At 46.4% G+C, this 22,811-nt stretch overlaps 1 protein-coding gene across 8 annotated transcripts in view; it reads right to left on the bottom strand.

The window, feature by feature from the left end:
- ABTB3 (ankyrin repeat and BTB domain containing 3) overlaps nt 1-22,811 on the bottom strand; it is a 341,209-nt gene that overhangs the window by 62,679 nt on the left and 255,719 nt on the right. For 6 of the 8 annotated variants that reach the window (NM_001018072.2, NM_001347943.2, XM_011537910.4 and 3 more), the window contains exon 4: nt 15,660-15,812. The exons of 1 other annotated variant lie outside the window; for it this stretch is intronic. In NM_001018072.2, coding sequence (NP_001018082.1) covers nt 15,660-15,812 — 153 coding nt within the window. Of the gene's footprint in view, nt 1-15,659; nt 15,813-15,956; nt 16,091-22,811 lie in introns of those variants that run through there. One more of the 8 variants, NM_001017523.2, reaches the window with a different exon arrangement.

Raw genomic sequence — 22,811 nt, 5'->3', positions numbered from 1 at the left:
CTCAGTTTACTGGACACCTGAATAAAGTCAGACTGAGATGGGACAAGAGCAAGATTTGCTGTTTTCTGCTTTTATTTAAAAGCAACCCAGCGATTCTCAAAGAGCCACGGGGAAAGCTACACTCTGTTCTTATTGTGAGGCAAGGAGGTCTGACTGGAAAAGAACTTAAGGAAGGGGGAAGGAAGGTGGAGGGGTAAGGAGAGTAGGGAGGGAAGGAGGGAGAGGCTCTTGGCCTGGATGCAGAGGGGAAAACTCTAGGGGTTTTGGCCAATGCAATCCCAAGACTCATGCTCTGTGCCAATACGGTGTTTGAAGACTATTTTTTGGTTGTTGTTGTTGTTGTTTTTTTGAGATGGTGTCTTGCTCTGTCGCCCAGGCTAGAGTGTGGTAGTGCGATCTCAGCTCACTGAAACCTCCACCTACCAAGTTCAAGCAATTCTCCTGCCTCAGCCTCCCGATTACAGCTGGGATTACAGTCATCCACTACCATGCCTGGCTAATTTTTGTATTTTTAGTAGAAACGAGGTTTCACCATGTTGGCCAGGCTGGTCTTGAACTCCTGACCTCAAGTGATCCACCCACCTTGACCTCCAAAGTGCTGGGATTACAGGCGTGAGCCACTGCACCAGGCCAAATTTGAAAACTTTTATGTGTGGCATACACTTGCTCAGTTCTCCCTGTTGCCCCACATCCAACTGAATCCACCCGTGTGTTTCCTGCCTGGCCCTAGTGGCATTTGCAATTGGATCCTTGACTGGAATAGGGTGCAATGTGATATGTTCTGGTATTACAGATGAACATTAAGGGACTAATATTTTAAGAAATCTTCATTAATTCATTCTTGTCACCTGTTAAATGTCAAACAGTGTGCTAGAAATTCTTGAGTGCTTCCATACCTAATATTTTATGATTCTCAAATAATAATTATAGCAAACACATAGCATTTATTATGTGCCAGGAAATATTCTAATTATATATACACACACAATATTTATAAATATATAAGTGAATATACGTATATATACACATATGCTTATATATATTACCTATTTATATGTGAATATAAATATGTGAAATAATATATGTGAATGCATATATATGTATATAAATATATGTGCATACATATATACTCATTCACATACTTGATCTTATCTAATCCTTACTTTAATCCTACAAAATTCATCTTAATTTTTCAGAAGAGAAAATGACAGCACAGAGAGGCTAAGAAACTTGCCCAAGGTCACACAGCTAGTCAGTAGTAGAACTGAGATTTGAAACCAGGCAGGCTATTGCTGGAGTCTATTCTTCCCGCCCAACTCCACTGCCCCTCTGTGCTATCAAAGGCCTTCCACATTCTCTTAGATTCTCTTCCAATGCTGCTGTCTGGTCAACAAACTATTAGATGCCAGGTACTGCGTAGGGTGCCAAAGAAATATATATTCCTAATCATAGGCTTCAAGTTTAAGGTTCTCTTGCCATTGCTCCTCTGGGAAGTTCCCCACCTCTTAAGCATTTCTTTTCCCCCCATTGCAGCCAGCAAGGCCTGCTTCCCACTCTGAATACACATTTCCCTACTGCTTTCTTGCCTGTATAAATGGGGTGCTCCTCAGGTCAAATCTGCTCCCCTGTGGCTTGCTTTCCTTCAAATCATATTCTAGAAACAGATCCCATATAACAGCTTCTGACTTGCAGGGTCCCAGAATGTCAGTGCTGAAAGAGATTGCACAGCCCAACGCCTTACCTTCTTAAGATCAGGAAACTGGGAGCACCAGAAGCGCTGACTAATTTGTCTGAGTCACAGTCATATTTAGGAACAAAATCCATCTTTTTTCCAAAGTCATTCAGCAAGTCTCTCTATGAACACATTTAGGTTTGCATAGGTCAGTGATTCTCAACCAGGGGCGATTTTTGTCAGGGGACATTTGGAGACATTTTTGGCTGTCACACAGAAGAGGTGCTGCTGGTATCTAGTAGGTAGAGGTGAGGGTGCTGTTAAGCTTCCTGCAATACACAGAGTGCCCCCCACCAACAGCCCCCAGCAACAATGAATTATCCAGCCCCAAATGTCGTAGTGCTGAGGTTGAAAGACCCTGGTGTAGGGTAATACAATTTTTTTGCATCATCTTTTATATATCAAGTAGTTCCCATTACAGGATTTTGTAAGCATGACAATAAAATGGCGCCTTCAGAAATGAGTCATGAAATGGCAAATCAGAGGACTATATGTCTGACTCGGATACTGGCCCCCCTCCTCAACACACTGTCCCAAGAATGCCATAGTCAAACTCCCTTTCATGGGCTTCCAGTCTCCTGGTTGATGATTTTTTCCCTTTTCTTTTGGGTAGCAAAAAGATGAACAAATTGAGAGTGCTTTGTGCTGAGGTAAGTCACACCAAGATCTCTGTGCACCTTTCTAAGAAAGAAAGATAAAATTATATTATCTCAGCAAATGGAGTATGTAACACTTGCAAAAGTTCCTAGGAGGAATCTTTGTCCAAAAATCATGCCCACTTGCTGTTTAATGCTGCTACTGAAGTACAGAAAAGAACCAGCTCATTAAACCTGGCTTAGATAAGGTAAAACAAGTGATTCTAAGTCCTCCTCCCTGCCAATTCTTCCTGATTTGGGAGAGATACCAAAAGATAGAAATTCTGGGTCTGTCTGAATATGTTTAAAAATATTTATTTCAAAAGCAAGGGCGCAAACACCCAGGAGAATGAAATTACGGTGCACATGTCTGAATGTGTTGTCATGTGATTTTGAGTAGAAAATGACGAGGCAGCATTATCTTGCTTCAGCATCATGGCTTATGTTCAAAGAGTCAAAAATGAGGGCCACCTCCAGAGAAGGAGTCACCTCTAATTAAGGATGCAAGCCCTTAATGCATCCCCTCTGGCAGAGACTGTTTGCTGTCTTTCAGACCTTACCTTTTTTATGTGTTGCTGCAGGTCTTGAATTTTTAGCTGGACACATGGCTGCTCAACTAAAGACTACATTTCCCAGAATCTCTTGCAGCTATGTATGGGCATATGACCAAGTGCTGGCCAATAGGAAGTGAGGGGAAGTGACGTGTGCAATCTCCGGTGGCATGCCCTGCCCTTCTATTTTCTCTCTTCCCACTAGATAGACGTAGTCCTGCTGGGTGGGGCCATGCAGAGGAAGGTATCACCCAAGGGATGGCAGAGCAACAAGAGGGAAGGTGGCTGGGTCCCCAACCTCGTGGAGTTGCCCAGGATTGCTTATGTCTGGACTGTTATATGAGGGAGATTTTAAAACTCCTATCTTATCCAAGCCACATGTATTTTGAATGTCCATTATAACTAATGAATCTATATCCTAATTAATCCATTCCACAAATGGTTTTCAAGTTTAGATCAATTCAGTGAAGTACTTCAGTGAAGTGCTAAGTATATGCTAGCTAGTGGGCTCGGTGCTGGAGATTCAAGATGAAAGCACACATGCCATCCACCCTCCAAGGAATCTAGAAAGAACTGATGGCCTTCTTCATAACAGTTTTCACCAATAAACAAACCAAATTCCCAAGTGTTAGGGCAAATTTCTAGTGTTCCAATCCCCAAATGCACTCCTAGTAACACAAGTCCCACAAGATGCTCCATGATGGGTCCAAAATTTTTTTCTGCAAAGGGCCAGATAGTATGTTAGGCTTTGAGGACCGCATGTTCTCTATCCTAACTACTCAACTCTGCCACTGTAGTGGGAAAGCAGCTGCAGAATACTAAACGAGTGGGAGGGGCTGTTTTCCCACACAACTTTACTTATAAAAATAGGTAGCAAGCAGCTATAGTTTGCTCACCCCTGCTCTATGGTAAAATATTTAAACAGAATAACCTTTTTGAGAGTTACAGGAAACAGGATGTGAAAAGCACTGAGTATCTTTTTAAAGCTTATTTAATTTTAAGCTAGTGTTCCTCAGATTTATTGAATCACTTAACCCTTCTTTATAATGCATATTCATATCCCAGAACTTGCTTTCTCAATGTGTTACTGCAAATACTGGCTAAGTAGACAACTTTTATTGTTAATGAATTATTTTCAGCACACATAAAATATAGAGTAATATAATGACCACCTACACGCTGACCATCCAACACAATTGAAATAATAAAGGCTTACAAACACAAAGGCCCCTGCACCCCACTTCATGACTCCATCATCTTGTCTACCTTTCTGAGTACCCTCTCTCCTGAATTTGACATTTGTCATTCCTATGCATGCTTTATTCTTTTTACTACATATATAAATTCCTAAAAATACACAGGATGTTTTACATGTGGGTGAACTTTATAGAAGTGTTAGCATATTGCATAAATCCTTCTTCAACTTGCTTTTTTTGTATAATATTTGAGAGTTGGCCATGTAATAACAGGTCGATCTAGTTCATTTATTTTCGTTGTTACTTGGTTTTCCATCGAATGAACACAACACAGTATAATTTATTTATCCATTCTCTCTAGGCAGATTGTTTTTTCCTCTCTTTTGCTATTACAAAATGCATTCATGAATATCCATGTACATGTCTTCTTATTTCTATATGGGAAGACTTTCTCTAGGGTATAGACCTAGAGTACAATTATGTCTTTTCAAGTTCACTTTGAAGTAGATCCAGAGTCCCCTCCAGTGGTGTTTAAGAGTTTTCACTATTCTACATCTTTGCTTGAATTTGTTATTGTCAGATTTTATTTATTTATTTATTTTGGCCAATCTGACTGGTATAAAATTGAATTGCATTTCTGGGATTACTAGTGAGGTTGGGGACTGTTCACATATTTCTTGGCTGTTTGATAGAATATTTCAATGCTAAGTCTTCACAGGGAGTTTTGGCATTGGAAATGCTGATGACGCTAGATGGATGTAGTGCATTTGACTTCCTAAGGGGAACTGAGGCTGGAGGCTGAGTCTTTCAAGATGAACCCAAAGGCCTAGTGCAAAAGTGACTTTCACACTTCCCATTTATTCTTTGATTAGGGCTGCCTTTCTAGTAGAGAGAACGTAGGCTTTGGAGTAAGACAGACCTGACTTATATTCCAGATGGGTCACATTCTCCATGTAACCGTGGGCAGGTTTCTTAACCTCCCAGAGTTCCAAGTTCCTCAGATGTGAAGAAGAAAAGGAAGCCCCTTGTAGGGCTGATGGAAACTGAATGGAGGTGGACATGAGAAATGCCCAGAACTGGGTCTGATCCATGCAGGCTCTTGATTGTTCCTGCCATCTTGTGGAGATATAAGAGAGGGCATGAGCTGCAGTTATTCTTATTTCCTTTGCCCATGACATGCCTCAGTTTCCCCCACAGGTAACAGTGTCCCTGCCTGATGTGGTCTGGATATGTGTCCTTGCCCAAATCTCATGTTGAATTGTAATTCCCTGTGTTGGAGGAGGGGCCTGGTGAGAGGTGATTGGATCATGGGGGTGGACTTCCCCCTTGCTGTTCTCGTGATAGTGAGTGAGTTCTCATAAGATCTGGTTGTTTGAAAGTGTGTAGCCCCTCCCCCTTTGCCCTTTTCCGCCTGCTTCAGCTATGTAAGACCAGCCTACTTCCCCTTCCGCCATGATGGTAAGTCTCCTGAGGCTTCCCCAGCCATGCTTCCTGTACAGACTGTGGATCGCTGAGTCAATTAAACTTCTTTTCTTCATAAATTACCCAGTCTCAGGTATTAACAGTTCTTTATAGCAATGTGAGAACAGACTATTACCATGCCATTTTGCATATCTAACATCTGACCACAAAGCTGAATAATTTTCAGAGCTAGAAAGGACTTTGGAGATCATTCAATCTGGTGGTTCTTAAACTTTTGTAGGGTGATTTAATGAAATGGCATGTACACACTGAAAGTTGTGATGTCTATGAGCTTTTTAAAGTATGGGACTGGTTCCTTCTTTGTTACCAAAAATACTTTTGTCCTGGCTTTGTCCTAAGCACTTTGTACTAAGCACATGACTTTGTAGTAAGTACTGCTGGCCTGACTAATTGCTAAGGAAAGATAATGTCCTCACGTAATTAATATTTTAAACTAGAGTTTGGGAGCTTTGCTGGCCTGAGGAAATAAGCATCTTGGTGAGAAATTTAATAGACTCAAGAGTGGGCCAAAAATAAATCAATATATAATCAATAAATCCCTGTTTCCCAGGAAGCCAAATCCCACATGGCAAACTACATACCCTCAACACTGCCAGCCTGAATCTGAAGGCTTACTTTGGAAGCAAGCCTCAAATGCTATTTAAGATGTAGTTCCCTGTGTTGCTATAAGTACCAAATGTGTTTCTGTTTTGCTTTTAACACTTTGGAAGCTCAGAACAAATTCCAAGTGTTGGCAAACTGTCTGCCGCCTGCAGTCTGGTTTCCACCCACACCAGCCTGTTGGAACTGCTGTTGTAAAGGGCACTAATGACTTCCTCGCTGCCAGCCCAGTGGCCTCCTTTCTCTGCTGGTGTTGCAACCTTGGATTCTGGTGACCTCTTTCGATCTTAGTTTCCCTGGTCCCTGCTACCTCATTTTCTCTGGGCTCTTCTATGACTCTGCACCACTCCTCCTTGTCTCACAGTGACTCCTCGTCATCAGTCACTTCCAGGGGCAACATCCTGCACACCCATGGCTTCAACAGCACCTGTTTGCCAAGTGCCCCCCAAAGGTTTCTTTAGTTAAGACCTCTCTTCTGAGTTCTACACCTGAGTTGTCACCTGTCTATTAGTGTGTTTATATAGAAGCCTTTTTGCATCTAAATTAGTAAAGGAGGCTGGGCGCAGTGGCTCACGCCTGTAATCCCAGCACTTTGGGAGGCTGAGGCAGGTGGATCACTTGAGGTCAGGAGTTCCAGACCAGCCTGGCCAACATGGCGAAACCCTGTCTCTACTAAAAAAAAATACAAGAATTAACCAGGCATGGTGGTGGGCACCTGTAATCCCAGCTACTTGGGAGGCTGAGGCAGGAGAATTGCTTGAACCCAGGAGGTGGAGGTTGCAGTGAGCCAAGATCACACCACTGTACTTCAGCCTGGGTGATAGAGTGAGACTCCGTCTCAAAAAGAAAAAAAATTAGTCCAGGAAAAGTCTCAGTCTGTTCACTTATAGTACCACCAACACACTTCCTGACAGCTCTCTGCATCCTTCATTCATTCAACAATTATTTATTGGGCCCCAACTATGTGCCAAGCCCCACAATCAAGGCAACTTATTTCTGCCCCAGCCCTAAAGAGAGGAGGAGGCCAGCTGTCTGGAATACAAGTCCGGGCTGTGAACCTTTCTTCTATAATAGTCCATGCCCCCTTGTGTCTCTCCTAGCCTCTGCTCACTTGGGACAAGGCCCAGCCAATCAGGGACCACGTTTCCCATCTGCACAGGTCCTCCTTCCCTTCTGCTATCTTTTCCCATTAGTGAGCCCCTCTCTGGTTGCACATCCTGGGTGCAAATGATGGATGTTCAACTACTTTGATTATGGTTTAGGACTCCAGCCAGTGATGGCTTTCCAAATCTCATATTTCAGAGGCAACAGAAAACCTGAGTCACACAGAGGAACACTGGAGTCACAGGTGGGGACAGTGACTCCCAAGCCAGACAGCCCCAGCTGATTTTCTTCCAGCAGTGGCAGAAGGTCCAAGACACACCAGATCTCAGTGAGGGCTACCAACCATATCCCAAATGGTATAATGCCACATCTCTTCAAGATATTTATTTCCCCTTCTTTTCAGAGGACAATGAGGCTATTGTTTTTGGCAACCAGAAAGAACTGACCTTCTTGGTCCAGAGGGGAGAAAATAAGCTAGTATTTCATGTGCATTTACTATGACACAAGTATTGTTCTAAATGGTTTGTACACATTATTTCATCTAATCCTCCCACAACCTTATGAGGTGGGTATAATTATTGTCCTCATTTTACAGATACATAAATTGAGGCCCAGAGAGGTGAGTAACTTGCCTAAAGTCACACAGAGAGTAAGCGGTGCAGCCAGGATTTGAACCCAGGCAGTCAGGCTCCAAGTCCTGTGGTTCTAACCACAGTGCTCTGCTTCCTTTCTGAGCAGATGCTGGAGTGTGGACTTAATTCTCTGGTAACCTTGCTCCAATAAAGAGGCCTGATAAGGACTCTCTCACTTGGATGGACAACCAACATTTAAAAAATGGAACCCGTCTGGGTGGGGTGGCTCACGCTTGTAATCTCAGCACTTTGGGAGGCCGAGGTGTGTGGATTAGCTGAGGTCAGGAGTTCCAGACCAGCCTGGCTAACATGGCAAAATCCCGTCTCTACTAAAAATACAAAAAGTAGCCGGGCGTGGTGGCACGTGCCTGTAATCCCAGCTACTCAGGAGGCTGTGGCAGGGGAATCACTTGAACCCGGGAGGCGGAGGTTGAGGTGAGCTGAGATCATGCCACTGCACTCCAGCTTGGGTGACAGAGCAAGACTCTGTCTCAAACAAACAAACAAAAAACACCACACACACAAAAAATGGAACCCATTAGTACTTCTCCCACATTGTCCTGTGCCGCATTTGTTTAAACCGTCCCTAGCTACACACTCTCCCATGCTAGAAACTTCAGAGTCAACTTTTAATGTAAACATTTGGTGAGGGCCCTACTAGGCAAGACAGGCACAAGCCACAAAACCCAACATTCCAAGTCTGTTTCCCTCCTACTACTGTCTCCCAGTGTTAAGGGTTGACATGTGTCCCCCCAAAAGATATGTTAAGTCCTGACTCCTTTTCCATATGGGTATGACCTTATTTGGAAATAGGGTCTTTGCAGATATAATCAAGTTAAGATGAGGCTATTACGGCAGGCCTTAATCTAATATGACTGCTTTCCTTATAACAAGTTGGAAATTTGGACACAGACACAGAGGAAAGAGGGCCATGTGAAGATGGAGGCAGAGATTGGAGTGATGCTGCCACAAGCCAAGGAATGCCTGCAGCCACCAGAGGCTGAAAATGTCAAGGAAGGATCCTTGACTTTAGAGGGAGGCTTTTGAAGGAGTATGGCCCTGCAGCACCTTGGTTTTGGATTTTTAGCCTCTAGAAAGGTGAGACAATAAATGTCTGTTGTTTTAAGTCAGCCAGTGTGTGGTACTTTGTAACTGCAGCCCTAGGGAACTGATACTCCCAGCTTCCCAATTCACCTCTTTGGAGACAACTCTGGTTATCCATTTCTTATCTATCCTTCCAGAGGCAGCCTAAGCATGTACAGCAAATACACGTGTGTGTATTTCACACAAGGGCAGTGCTGACACTGTATACCCTGCTATGTATGGATTATTTTTTTATTTGAGAACACCTCAGGACCATATTTTTATTGTGATAAAATAGACATAACATCAAATTTATCACTTTACCCATCTTTAAGTGTACAGATCTGTGCATTAAGTATATTCACACTGTTGTGCAACCGTCTATCTCCCTCTGAAACTCTGAACCCATTAAACACTCACTCCCCCATTCCTGCTCCCCCGCCACCAGGGTCACTTGGAATATTTATCACTCCCTCTTCCTGACATTCATCACCAAGTCCTGCTGCTTCTGCCTTCTCTGTTTCTCTTGCATCCTTCCCTGTTTCTCCATCCTCACTGCTCCTGCCTTCCTCCAGCTGTCAGCATCTCACGTGGATCACTGACTCCAGGCTCCCCTGCCCCTGCCCGCCTCAGCCCACTGTCCACACTGCCAGCAGCCCGTCTTTCTAAAATATAGATCGGTTGTCATTTCCTTGTTTACAAATCTGCGACAGCTCCTACCCCCTGCAGGATACTGCCAAAGTTCTTTTGCGTAGCATAAAAGACCTTCCATGGTGAGTTCGGCCCTGCCTTCAGCTCTGTATCCAAAGCCTGGTGCAGGGCCCAGCCCACAGTGGGTGCTCCCGTTTATTGAGCCCTATGCTCTCTCTCTCTGAATTCCTTGTGTTCCTTCCAACAGTTTCCCACCTTGAGGCCTTTGCATATGTGGTTTCCACTGTGTGGACTTATTTCTCTAATGCCTTTTCCCCTTCTTCCCCATTTTCACCTTCTCCACCTGATACATTTGTTTATTCTCCAGGATTTCAATCAAATGGCACCTCGGCAGGGAGGTCATTTCTTGCTCCCTCAAACCTAGATCTCTACTGACCTCTCTAGAGCAGTCACCACATTCTTCTGTAATTACGTGTGGATCTCTCTGCCCACCTCCCACCTAACCAAGCACAGAGCAGGCAAGCACACAGCAGGTGCTCCATACATGTTTGCTGAGTGCAAGGTACTAGCCTGGCTCCTTGAGCAGGCTCCGCGGCCTGTCTCTGACTCCTCTGTTAAGTGAGGACAGCTGAGCCCCAAAGCAACTCCCCAGGGATCAGGGAGAGGGCAGTTTCTCTGTTTTCTGGGAGGCGCTAATGCATTGACATCAGTTCGGGGGAGGCAGCGGCTCCAAATGGGTCACCACAGGGCCGTGGCATGGAGTGTGATGTCTGCTGGAGGTGAAGAAGGGGTTGGCAGCCCAGCCGGAGAGTCTGTGGGGAGTTGCAGGATTTGTTCAGGGCCAGTGAAGGACAAGGGCATTCAAGGAGAGAGGAGAGAGAAGTTTCTGACTCTGTGAGAGGCTGGGGAGCTTTCCAAGGCCTCACAGAGCCACACGCTGGGCCCAGGTGCTCAGCCTTTGCAGGTGACCTGTGGAGGGAAAGATGGGGGAGGCCCGAGGTCTGAATTCAGGGGTCAACGTGTGGACATGACTGGGGGAAATGGCTGGTGCGGATGCAGCTCTAGTTGGCTTATGGAAAGCCATAAGCCCCTTGCCCCATAAGATACCAAGCCTTTCTTTAAAGCAGGAGCATGACCCTGTCCCTGCCCCTGCAACGTCCTGAGGAGCTCTCCGAACACCTGATGGACTTGTCCCTCCCTCCTCACTTCCTCTCTACCCCTACACCCTGTTTTGCTTTCTCTGTGGCACTCATGCTCTATGAAATAATCTTGCTCATTTGTCTGCTATTGTTTACCATCTGCATCACCTCAGTGACATTTAGGTCCTGGGCACTCCATGTATCCTGACCCCAGAAAAAGATCAGGTACCATACAGATCTCAGGAGGGAATGGATAGTAACTTTTGACACCAAGGGTTGGAATTCTCCTTATCTGGACGATCTTGTTCTCAAATGGCCACAGAGGATGTCCTGTGTGGGTCGGGCAGGCCTCAGCACCCCATACATCTTTGGTAAATGAACCTGAACTTCCAGCTGTCATTATAGAGTTGTATTTTAGGAAAAGTGCTGTTGAGGCCCAGCCTTCACCTATAATCCAGTTTGGCCCACACCAGACAAATAACAAAACCTGTCAGCCTCAAAAGGTGCCCAGGGGACCTGGGAAGGGTTGAAAGTAGCAGGTCATAGAGTGGTGCAATTCGTTAGATTCATCCCTGACCCCCGCCAAGTTTCCCCAGCCCACAAGGCAGCTGTTACTACCATCTTTACAGAGGATGAACCAAGCCCTGTGAGATGGGGGAGGGGACTTGCCCAAGGTCACCTGCTAGAAAGCGGCAGACCTAGATGAGAGCATCTGTATGGGGATTGGCACTTAGTTGGTGCTCAATAGAGTGAAGGCAAGAATGTAATGACTCAGGCCTCCTGAGTCCCATTCTATTACTCTTTGCAGCTTACCACCCCTAAACTTTCCCATTCTGGAACAGCTCAAAATCTGGTTCACACTACAGAAACACTTGCAAAAAGAGTAACCATTTTCTGGAATAAACTCGTGGCTCAAACAGCCCCCAAATCCTGTTGATAGGTACCATTTATCAGCTAAGAGAGGACTTAAGAACACCCCTGACCATCTTTATTTTAACACAGCCTTCACTCCAGAGCAGAAAAACGGCCTCTTGTATGAGGAAAATGACAGTATTTACTCTGTATATTTCCGAAGTGTTTCAAAACCAGTAATTAAGAACACATAAGAAACCCTGTCGAATATATTAATTGCTCTTTTCTTCCCTTCCACTGCCCTCCCCACTCCTTCACCTTCCAAAGAACAGGAAAAAAAAAAGGGAGAATTCACCAGGTTTGTATTATCTGATACTTTAATTAAGGAAGAATAAATGGGTCACCACTGTGAGCTTAGAAATGCAGCCTCATGGAATGGAATTCCTTTTTGAATAAACCTGATCACCATGGTGAGACCTTCCCATAGCTGCATAAAGACAAAAGCAGAGCTCTGGCAGCTTTTGATCAAGGTCACTCTGAAAATCAATGGCAGTGCCAGCATCAGACCTGGGAATCCTTGACTCTGGTCTCTCTGTCCCGGCTGGTATCCAGGCTGCCTCCCACCAGGAACCCTCGGCCAGCTGGTAGGTAATTATATGTGCTAATAGTCACAGACACTCCAGCCACCAACACCATGTCCCAAGTTCCTGCATTTGTTAGAACACCAAACTGCCTTCCCCTTTCTAGGGCTGTTTATTTAGAAAGAAGGAGCTCAGCTCTGACCGACTCAGAACTAGAAGCCCACCCAGCAACTTCTAAAATGAATGTCTGGGAGGGCAGGGAAGCAAGGAGACTGTATTTTTACATTATTTGCCAAGTCCTCCATTCTAGACCTGCTCTGCCTCACAGCAGCTGTGTGACCTCGGATAAGTCCCATAACCTCAATGGGCCTCAGCCTTCTCATCTGTAAAATGGGATAATAAAGGCTGTCTTGCACAGTTGTTGGGGACAGCTATGTACACACCACACGGACTGTAAGTGTAAGGAACAGGGTGGGTCCCTGGTATCTAACGCTTGGGTGTCTTGAATGAACAAAACTTCTTTGATCCTGTTACCTGCAAAATGGAGACAGTAATTCCTACTTCATGTCACATTAAATGAGATTAGAAAATATACGTGTAGATGTATCTGTATGTTGACTAGTCTGAAAAATAAGTATTCTTTTTAAAAGAAATGGTTTATCCTTTCATGTCCTGAATTTTTTGTAGCTAATAGAACTTGTAAATCCTTCACTTACTATTTAGGTAAGCTAACTGAATATTTCAGTTTTCTCTTTGAAGATGATTTCCAAATCGAATGAAAATTTAGCTCGAACAATCAATTAGTATATTTTCTGTACACAAATCATCATTCAGGAGACAAATGAGTCAAGAATGAAGAGATAAATGATTAAAAAGAGCCCAGGGACTCAGAGGAACCGACTTCCTCTGCTCCTCTGTGCATTCTGGCCTGCGTGCACATCACATTCACATCCTGAATGCCAGGGCTGAGGCTTCAAACTGGACAGATGCTGAAATTGAAATCCTTGGTGTGACTGTCAGAATGACACACACTTGGTCGCTAGACCATGCAGAAAGAGCTCTGTGCTGAGGAGGGGGGGCGCAGAGATGGACAGTGGCCCCTGAGGCTCATGTTCAGTCTGCAAAATTGTGAAAAGGGACAGAGCCATCCAGAAGATAGTGTCCTCTGAGAGGGCTTGTCTAGGTCTAGGGTGAGAGAGCAGAAAAATGACACATGGTTGTATCATTGGGTCTCTGGGTGCGATATCTGGCTCCCAACTCTGTCACTTACCATCTGTGTGATGTTGGCAGAGTTACCTAATGTCACTAAGCCTTGATTTCCACCTCTGTAAAATGGGGCAGCACTGCTTTTCCTGGATACCAATGTTTGTTTTGAGGCTGTTATGAGAAAGTATTAAAGGCCTTCCAAAATTATAGAATAATACCTAAGTAGGAGCCTCCTTATTATTTCAGCGGTAGCAGAGGCTCGGGGACTTTAGTTAAAAATGACCGCTTTATAGGCACTTATTTCCTTTCAGGCATTGTTTGAATGGATACTGCACGTTCATTATCCTACTTTGTGCTCACACCAACCTCTAAGCAGAGCTGCTATTCATATTTCCACATTACTCATGGGAAAACTAAGGTCCAGAGAGGTTAACTAGCTTGCCCAAGTTTGCACAGTTGATTAACTCTGGTGGTGAGATCTGGACCCAGGCAATGGGACCCTGGAGCCCAGGCTCCTAACTTTTAAGCTGTAGGGTCTCCTGAAGGTATGACAAACAAGGAATGCTTTGTCAGTTAGCATTAAGAAAACATCTAACCTTCCCTGTCACCCAGCAGTCCCGGGCTTCCTGCAAAAGGAGAGCAGGAGCTGCCAAGACATCCAGGTTGGCGATGGGGGCAATGAGCAGGAGTGGTGGGAGTGAGCCTGCACGCAGAATGTGCCCCGCCCACCCCTGAAAACAGGAGGCAGCACAGTCCGGTGGCAGAGGCTGGACTTAGAGTAGGACCACAAGAATTTCTTCCTTGGCACTTCTACCTACAAGCTGCTCCACCAATGGTTCCCAATCTGTAAAATGGGAAGATTATGCCAACCTCATGATGCCGCTTCGGGGATTAAAAGAGAGAAATCTTTTGTTGCAATTGATAACCGTCACATGGTAGGTGCTCAGTGAATGACCGTTCCCTCGCCTCTCCCTGAGATGGGCTGTTATTGTAGGTGACAAGGTACAAGGCATGGTGGCACAGCCAGAAAATGCCCAGACAAAAATCTGAAGACAGGAAAGCGCTCAGTGGTTAGAACTATGATCCCAGGGCTCTGGACTGCCTGAATTCATATCCTGACTCTATTATTTACTACTCCAGTGACTTTGAGCATGGTATTGAACCTATCTGTGCCTCAGTTTCCTTACCTTTGAAGTGAGCATAATCACAGTACCTACTTTACACTGTTTGGGAAATATTCATCTGTGTAAAGCACTTAGAACAGTGCTCGGCATGTGGTAAACATCCAATAAATGCTAGCAATTATGACTTTGACTCGCTCTCTGCATGTTCTTGGGCTGAGGGACAGCTCTGGGCCTTCGGGGGGCTGCTGCATACCACAAACCCTCCATTTCCTTGCAGAACCCCAATCAGATCTGAAAGGGCAGAAATCTCTGCCCTTGGCCTGGTTGGATGAACTGTGGAGGAAAGGCAGTTTCCCATCAAGTGGGTAGGAAGGGATTTGAAAATGATGACAATGACACCTGGGAAACAGCTGGGAGTGGGGGGAGTCGGGAAAGTGCATGCTCTTAGGTGTGTTCGTGTGCGTGCACGCGCACGCACACACACACGCCCCACTGGGTTTCTGTGTTTTTTTGCATTTAAAGCCAGATTATGACTCACCTGAGTGAGTTCTTTTATTTCTCTTGCTTTGGCTCAAAATGAGCACCCACGCATGGGGGCCCCTGAGTGGCCCATGGGTAATTCCCACCTTGACAGAGGAGAGCCCTGGATACAGGCCTGAGGAATGCAGAGAAGACCACTCCATCCTCACGCAAGTGAAAACGCAGAGGCGCTCTCTGACCCAGCCAGAAATTTCACTCTGTAAGGTTTGGTTAAAAAACTACAGGAAGACCGGATTTTACTGGGGGAGGAGAGAGAAAGAGAGGGAGAAGCTAGGCGCAGAGAGAACAGCCAGAGAGAAACCACACCGACATCTGTAATCTAAGAATCGGACCGTCCTCCACGGGCCTCGCCGCGTTCTTTCAACCCTGCAACTCCAGGGACCTGCTTATTGTTCAGCCCGCGTCTGCCACTTCAACCAGGGAGCCTCCACCCCAGCGCCGCCGAGGTGTGCGGGGCTCAGGCCGCCCAGCGGGGCTCTGATTGGAGGGGTGGAGGCTGCGAGGCCGGAGCCCTCCCTCCCCTGCCGCCCCCCGCCCGCCCCCGCGCCTACCTGAGCTGGCGCGGCTCGCAGTCCACGCCGGGCAGCAGCAGCCGGGCCGCCTGGCGGACGTCGTCGCTGTCCATGGAGAAGCTGCGGCGGTGGCCGGCGTGCGCCACGGCCACCCGGATCCACTCCATCAGCGGCGGCAGCACGAGGAAGGGCCTGCGGTGGGAGGAGGGACCCGGAGACGCGCGTTAGGGCCTCCCCGGAGGCAGGGGCTGCCGGCTTGGCCCCACCCCCTGCTCGCGGGGATCCCCCCATCTCCCGACTCCCCAGCCCACACCCCGCTTTCCCTGGAGACCCTGCCTCTGAATTCCAGAGTAGTGGGAGAGCCTTTGGAGACATCCGGACCGCACCGGTGACCCCGGGGCAGGCTCTCTGGAATCCTTGGGCCTCAGTTTCCTCATCTGTAGCCTGGGGATAATGTGACTAGGAAAGGCTAGGAGGTAACTGATCTGGGAATATTATCCCTCTCGGCGATCATGTGAACATAAGGATGAGTCACTTGAAGCACCAAGCGCAGGGTCTGGAGCGGCGGAAAACCAATCAGCGCCCCGTGTTATTTCTATTTGGGGCTCCCTGATTGTGGACCCAAGCCTAAGGTGTCCGCTAGCACTCCCTTCCCATCTGCAGCCTCGTCCCTGTCGTCTTTCTGGAGCTCTTTCAGGCTTCAGCTCTGCCCAGGCAACATGCTGCCAAAAGGCTTTGGCACCTAGAAAAGGCTCTCTAAAGAGAGCCAGGTTAACCGGCAGCCTTCCCCCAGACCCAGGCTGGCTGGGCAGCCACCCAGTGGCGCCCACAATTCGAGGCCCTTTGGACCTTGGTCACACCCCTGAAACTCTGAGAGCCTCAAGTTCCCTGCCTGCTAATGGGATCATGGTAGGCTGTTGCAAGCTTGTTGCACGCATTGAGACAATGCCTACAACTGAAGGGCAACTTTCTAAGTGCAACGCATTTGTGCCATCTTCCTATTTCTTCCAGTGATGATAAACTCTGTCCTCACATTAGGATTACTGGAGAAGATTTTGGAAAAAATAATGACACTTGAGTCCTGTCCCAGGGATTCTGATTTAATTGGTATAGGGTGCAGCTGGATACAGGCAGTTTTCAAAACCTCCCCATGTGAATTTAATGTGCATCAGAATTATCTGGAGGGTTTGTTAAAATACGGACTGCTGGGTCTCATTCCCAGAGTTTCTGATTCCATAGATCAGGGGAGGTACCCAGGAAATGCATTCCTAACCAGTTCCTGATACGGATGCTACTGGTCTGCGGACGACATTCTCAAAGAACCTCTGCTCTAAAGTCATCATGAGAGGGCCTGGGAATCATCTGGCTCTATATCCAGAGATGGTGATTGTGTTAGAGTCCAAGAAGATAATTCTGATAGGCAGCCCCTGGGATTCTGATTTAGGTGGGCCAAGTACCACACTTTGAGAAATGCACTACGTAGATGCAAAAGGTTTCCTGCCATTCAGCAGGGGTCAGACTAGCATGAAGCCAGTGGGGTTCCCTGGGTGCAAAACTGAAGGAGGCTAGGTCATGCAAATATGTTCTTGGCATGTCTCTTGCCTCCCCCGGCCCTGGGGCTGCCATTCAGTCCAGCATGGCCACCATGGCATTGAGAAGAGGATGACAGGTAGATGGGGTTATAAGTCAGCCAGCCCCCTTGAGAAATGCAGATGTCATGAGCTTCCCAGAAAGTTTTTGGTGGCAGGTGCCAGTTTTCCTATAGTCAGATCTATTTATCCAATGTTAATAATATTCAGCAGCTCAGCCATTTACATTGATTCATGGTCTCATCTGAATGCCTAGGACCAACCTCTGTGCTAGTTATGATTATGCCCATTTCATTGATCAGGAGAATGATGTTGATCCAGGTTAGGTATCATGCCCTGGACCACAAGACTAGCAAGAGCTGGGAGTCAGACCCAAGTTACTTGACTATATAGCATGTGTAGAGAAACCCCATGTGATATTGACATTCTCTTGTCCAACTTCGTAGCATGCACTCTGTTACCCAGCATGCACCTGTCACCCCAGGGGAGCTGATCAGGTCATGGACTCTTGCTGGCATGCAATGGGCTGATTCCTGTTCATGCAGCTGAGCCTCCTGTCTGTAAGGCTTCAAGCCCTTTAAAAATCCACATCCCTCTTAACCTTCAAACCACAGGCTAAATCCCATTTCTCCCTAGACGTTCCTCCTGACTTTACCTCACTTGAATCCCTCGCATTGTGGGCCTCACCCCAGAGGACTCCTCTGGCCTTACCCGCTGCCTCTGCAAATGCCCCATTAGAATGTAAACTCCACCAGGGCAGGGAATGGGGACTTCTTGGATCACGGCTCCCGCCGCAGCTCCAGGATGGTGCCTGGCACACTGTAGGCACTTAATAAATATTTGCTCATGACACAGACTAAGATTTACCAATTTCTTACTGGGTGAAACTGATAAAATTGAGTTTCTGGACCTGTGGACCTATCTGTGGGGCAGAGTCCCAAGGATTTTCTGCCTGAATCAGCCTGCTTCTTAGGCTGTCTCCCTCATTCTCCCATTCTCTCCATCACCTAAACTGAATCAGGCACTCAATAAACACACGCTGACTTGAAATTGAATTGGATTCTACTGTCTCAGGTGAGCAGAACTTATTTTTGTCACAGTGTCTCCATTATTGTTGGAAACCAGCCCCAAATGCTCAGAGAACTCTCTGGGTTAAGTTTCAGAGGCGCCTCCCCTCATCATTCCTTTGCTCAGTGGCCCCAGAGCACAGTCCACAACCCTGAGTCCCTGGGGGGCTGCATCTCCATCACAGAACTGCCCTTGGGCTGCTGCCTTTCATGTTAGATGCCAAGCGAGGCCCAGGGCACACGGCCAATGCCTGGTGAATGCCAAAGAATAGCAAAAAAAAAAAAAAAAAAAAAAAAAAAAAAAGAAGAAGAAAGAAAAAGGCTCTGCTGCCTTCAAAAATAACACCTTTACCAAGACAGCTGGCAAGCTCCAGAATAAGACACCTTGAACCTCAGGATTCCAGCCTCTCCTGGAATTTTCTATGTACCTATTCTCTCCTTTCAACATTGCCTTCTTCTTGTCACTCTGACCTTAATAGTATATAAGCTCATGAATTCTTTGCCAGTAACTCATTTAAAAATCTTCTTATCTTGTCTACTCAGAGGGGAAAAAATAGCATTATTTGTATGTTTTCTTTGGAGGAATTGGAGATGGGAAAGAATTCGAGGGCTCTGAGTCAAGGAGAGGGTGGAGAATGCTGAAGAAAAAATCTTGCATTCTCTTTATACTTTTTTTTTTTAAGAGAACAATGTTCCACTGGTTGTCTCCTTTATTCTGAAGTTGTTTGAAGTGACTAAAACCCAAAAGAAGCTTGAGGAGCTCATGGTTTAGTGAAGTGGTTCTTAGACTTTGTTGAACATCAGAAGCACATGAAGAACTTGTTAAAATGGCAACAGCCATGATTTTACATCCAGAGTTTGGCTCCCATAAGTCTTGGGGTAGGGCCTGGGCATCTGCATTTTAAATAAGCTCCCCTGGAAATTCTGCAGCAAGCCAGGTTTGTTAATCCCCAACCACGTGGCCTGAGATGAGCAGAGGAGGGAGATGGTCCACTCAAACAGGACAGTGGCCATCTACATCTTCACTGTGGTGTTAGGAGAGGTATATAGGGTGCGACTAGAGGCTCTGGAAGGAAAGAGAAAGCCTTGATGGGCTTCCTGCAGAGTCAAGCCAGCATGTCAGCTCAGGAAGGCTGTTAAGCCCAGATTCAAGTAGGAGATGGAGAACATACACGGACATGGCCTTTCTCTGAAATGGTGAAGAGAGAGCTGGTGATGAGGCTGACCACCCAGGATGGAAAAGGAGTTTGGCTGGGGAGTCTGGGTACTAGAAAGAATGTTACAGGATGTGAGAAAGGCCTGGTTTGGGATTTTGCAGAACTGAATCCCAGCCCTGGATCTGCCCGTAACTCACTGGAGGGCTCCTCTGGCCCATCAACGTTTTGGCCTTCAGTGTCTTCACCTGTAAAGTGGGGTGGGTTTGCATCAGATGATCTATTTCAGGGCTCAGCAAACCTTTTCTGTAAAAGGCTAACTAGTAAGTATGTTAGGCTTTGTGGGCCATAAGGTCAGTCTCTGTTGCTACTACTCAACTCTGACATTGCAGTGAGAACAGCCACAGATGATACACAAATGAAGGAGCTTGGCTGGGTTCCAATACAACTTTACTTACAAATGCAGATGGTAGGTCAGAGGTGGCTACCATTAGCCTGTTCAGTTCTTCCCAATGCTAATATTCTTCGATTCTATTGGAAAAGCCAGTTGCTGGGGCCTTAGGAAGTACCTAGTGTGTAGACTAGGGAAGATGGAGAGAAGACCATGAAGGTCCTAGTGATAGGGACAGAAAGTTTTGGGGAGATCAGAAGATAGGACCCTCCCACAAAGAGGTCATGGTTGGATGCTTGAGCCACAGGCATATCCAGAGGTAGTAGATTAAAAGATATCAAGAGTTGCTGAGGGTGAGGTTGGAGACGTGGTAAAGAGTGCGGAGTAGGTATGGAACCTAGGAGTGAGGACATCCATGGGCTCAGGAATTCATCTCACATGCTAAACTGCCTTGTTCCAGGGTTCAGAGAAACTACCTGTTGTTATGGGCTGAACCGTGTTCCCCCAAATTCCTATGTTGCAGCCCTAACCCCCAGTACTCAGCATATGCCTGTATTTGGAGAGAGAGCCTTTGAAGAGGTAATGAAGTTAAAATGAGGCCATTAGAGTGGCCCTAATCCAGTCTGACTGATGTCCTTAGAAGAAGAGGAGATCAGGACACGAGAGACACCAGGGTTGTGTGTGCACAGTGGGGCAAGAGGGTGGCCATGCACGCCAAGAAGAGCGGCCTTGGAGGAAGACAACCCTGCCAGCAGCTTGATCTGGGGCTTCCAGCCTCCAGAATGGGGAGAAAATCAATTTCTGTTGTTTAAGCCACCTAGTCCATGGCATTTTGTTATGGCAGCCCCAGCAAACTAATATACTTGAGGTTTGACATTTTGAAGAAAACTTGGCCTGGAGTGGGAGGAGCCAAGGTAGTGTTCTAGGTCAGTACCCCAAACCAAGAAATCCTATTTTGAGGTTTCAGTCTTCAGTAGAGGGGCTTCAACTGGAAGCTCAAACTCTTTAGAAAGCTGATGGTGTTTGGTTTGTTTCCTTCAACCTAGTGCAGTAGGGGATGGGGTCAAAGCCATTTGAAGATTGTACAGTGCTGTGGTTAGGAGCACGGGCTTTGGAGAGAGACTGATTGGAACTGGATTCCAGCTCTACCTTCTAGCAGTGGGAGCTTGAACAAGATATTTCAAGTGTCATGCCTCAGTTCTCTCATTGGGAAAATAGGGATAATAATAGCACCCACCTCAGAGGGTATGGTTGGCTGAAGAATGCCTCCCACCCCTAACCGAAGATGTCCACATCCTAATCCCTAGAACCTGTGAAAGCTGCCTTAACTGGCTAAATGGACCTTGCACGTGTGATTAAGTTCAGGAGCCTCCAGGTGGGCCCTAAATGCAATCACAAGGGTCTTTATCAAAGGAAGGCAAGAAGGTCAAAGGAAAAAGGAAAAGAAGCAGTAGAAGAGGTTGGAGTAATGAGAGGAAGGGGCCATGAGCTAGGTAATGCAGGCAGTCTCTAGAAGCTGGAAAAGACAAGGAAATAGATTCTTTCCCAGAGCCTCTAGGAAGAACCAACCCTGCCTATACCTTGACTTTAGCCCAGTGAGGCTGATTTTAGACTTCTGGCTGCCAGAACTGTTAAGAGAAGAATTTTGTGTTGTTTTAAGCGTCCGTGTGTGGTAATTTTTTACAGCAGTCACAGGGAACAAATAAACAGGGTTATTGGAAGAATTGAACGGGATGATGTACTTAGCGTGGCGCCTGGTACCGAGAAAGTGCTCAATAAATGGGGGCTGTTATTATCATCATCACCAACATTGTTTTTAGCATCACTCATCTTCTCCCTGCCAGGTGCAGGAAAAGGCCTTGCTACACAGAGCGACATAGAGGGATGTTCCTGCCTTTTCTTTACAAATAGATGCAAACCTCTGCAGATGCTATAGCCTTCCCTTTGTAAACTGTGTGGCCCTGACTTTTCATCTTTGTTATTTGTTGAGTGTTTCTTAGACTGGAAAGGAATTTCGATATTTGTGGTTTAGGAAGCTCATAATTCCAGAGACACAGAGAGTGAAGGAAAAGCAGCTAAATTGATAGTAGACCATATTCGGTGCTGGTTTCTATAGCAATGCTCATTGTAACATCACTGCATCTGTGGGCACCAAAGCCGGGAAGATGGTAGAGGTAAGAGGTGGCCACAGCTGGTTACTATAGTGACAGCCCTACTGTGCAAGGCATAGTCCAACTGCCCACGAGGGTGGTTTCTGCAGATGGCCTGGAGTGGGAGGAGCCAAGGTAGTGTTCTAGGTCAGTGCTTCTTAAATGTTTCTGTGCCTTTGAATCACCTGGGATCTTGTTAAAATGCAGATCCTGATTCAGAGAGTCTGGGGCACAGCCTGAGATTCTGCATTTCTTTCTTTCTCTTTCTTCCTTTCTTTTTCTTTTTTATAGATGGAGTCCCGCTCTGTTGCGCAGTGATCTTGGTTCACTGCAACCTCTGCCTCCTGGGTTCAAGCAATTCTCCTGCCTCAGCCTCCCAAGTAGCTGAGATCACAGGCATGTGCCACCACACCCAGCTAATTTTGTATTTTTAGTAGAGACAGGGTTTCACTATGTTGGCCAGGCTGGTCTCGAACTCCTGACCTCAGGTCATCCACCTGCCTTGGCCTCCCAAAGAGCTGGGATTAGAGGAATGAGCCACCGCACCCAGCTGAGATTCTGCATTTCTAATGCGCTCCCAGGTGATAATGCAGCTGCTGGTCTATGGAACATATTTTGAGTAACCATGACCTACAGAGAATCATGACTCAAGTCAGAAACCAGGGAAGGTGAATTTTGTTATTGTGTTTAAGTTGGGGAGGAAAAGGGGTCACAGGTCCAGGAGACAATGGAATAGAAGGAGTTGAGCTGGTGCATCAGATTGGCCGAGCCTGGTTCATGAGCCTTTGCCAAGCTGCAAGTGAGGCTGGGAAAAGCTAGTGCCTGGAGGCTTCAGTTTTT

The sequence above is a fragment of the Homo sapiens genome, chromosome 12, assembly GCF_000001405.40.
Source record: "Homo sapiens chromosome 12, GRCh38.p14 Primary Assembly".
Lineage (NCBI taxonomy): Eukaryota > Metazoa > Chordata > Mammalia > Primates > Hominidae > Homo > Homo sapiens.
Note: the sequence above shows the minus strand (reverse complement) of the source record. Positions and strands in the feature narration are given on the sequence as shown.